We start from the raw sequence: 1,796 nt of genomic DNA on the forward strand, positions 1-1,796 counted from the left end.
TGTGTCTTCTTCTTATACATAATAACTTGTTGCTGGGGAAGAGCTCAAAATTACCTTACATGGAATATAAGATATTCATGGAGGTATTTGGAAATCTATATCAGTCTCCTTTGTACTTATTTTTGGAAATGGCAATTTTTCCCAAATAAGAAATAGAAACTTATATGGGCAAATGTGGACTGTTAGAATAAAGTTTTCCTTTATTAAAAATTCTTCCCCAAACTAGACAAACAAGTAAAACCAGATAGGATGTGTGTGTGTGTGTGTGTGTGTGTGTGTGTGTGTGTGTGTGTAATTTTTATGAGACAAATTGGGTCTATTGATCTTAGGAGCTATTCAATCACTATATAATCAGAGAAGAAGACAGCTTGATGCTAGTATCTTTGTATGGTGGTTGTTTCTGAACTATACTGTATTGCTTTCCTATCATGCACATTGATATGTACACTGAGGTTCATTCTGCATTTGCGAAATAACTCATGAGCAAGCCAATGTTCAAGATAACTCAAGTGAAAATAACATCATAAAGGTGTAATAACTATCTAACTATATTGGATCCTGGGATGTTGGGAATTGGGAGAGGCCAATCCTGGATGTGCTGGCTCACTAACTGGGATCCTAGGTTGTTTGAGAACCTGGAGGCAATGTCATGAGCAGGCAACATGATCACTCTGACTGACCCGGCAAGGAGGCACCCAAAGTCCCATCAGAGACTTTGGAGATGCCACAGGCAGGTGTGAGGCTGAGATGGACACCAGATGAGTGACAAAGGGCCTGGCACAAAGGGCCCTGCATGGATTTAGTAGAGCATTCCTCAGCCATTTCAGCTGGCTTCTATGCCTACCTGCTTGGGAAGACTTCCCTCCTTGGCAACTTAACAGGGACTAGACAAACTCTGGCCAGATATTTGGAGCACACAGAAGCAGTTCTACAGATCTGTATTGCAATTATTTGTTTTACACAGATAAATAAAAACTGAGATTAAAACTTTGTTCAAGAGAAATAAGTTATTAATCCCCCCAGGATTTTAAAAATTCATTTCTGAATCAATTTCATTAGAACAGAAATAAGTCTACCTCAATGGGACAGATATGGAGAGTAGGCTGAAATGAATGGAAAACTAGATTGCAGTGCTGTCTGGTGGGTGTTGATAACAATGAGGTGCTCCTTCTACCAAAGCAGTGTGTCCAGGGCAGGTGAGATGCTCAGAGATTAGGGTAGGGCAGGACTTCAGGGGGAGCCTGTCTAGCAGGAAAGATAATTGTTCATTTTACAGTTTGACCTCAGGTCTAAAGAGTCTGCTTGGGGCTGGCCTTGAAGAAGGATGCATCGTCCCTGCTTTCTGGCAAAGGTAGACTTTCTTATTTGAATCCTAAAGCCTAAAAGAAAAAGAAGAAAAAGAAATTGTCATTAATAACTGTTGGTGACCTAAAACATTACACGTCACTCAAACTAATATTCCTGTTGAATGTTGTTATCACATGTCACTCAAACTAATATTCCTGTTGAATATTGTTATTTAATTACATTGAAATTATTGACCTGCTTGTTATACTAATGAAAGAAAGAAAAATTGGTAAGTGTAAACCTATCAGTGAAATGGTGCTGCTAACTCAAGGGACTTATCGGTAGAATGACCCCATAAAGTTTTCATCTCAAGTAAGGCAAAGCCATGTAAGGAAAAAATTCAGCCGGGCATGGTGGTTCATGCCTGTAATCCCAGCACTTTGGGAGACCAAAGCAAGAGGATTGCTTGAAGCCAGGAGTTCAAGACCAGCCTGGGCAGCATGGTGAGA

The sequence above is a fragment of the Homo sapiens genome, chromosome 6, assembly GCF_000001405.40.
Source record: "Homo sapiens chromosome 6, GRCh38.p14 Primary Assembly".
Classification (NCBI taxonomy): Eukaryota; Metazoa; Chordata; class Mammalia; order Primates; family Hominidae; genus Homo; species Homo sapiens.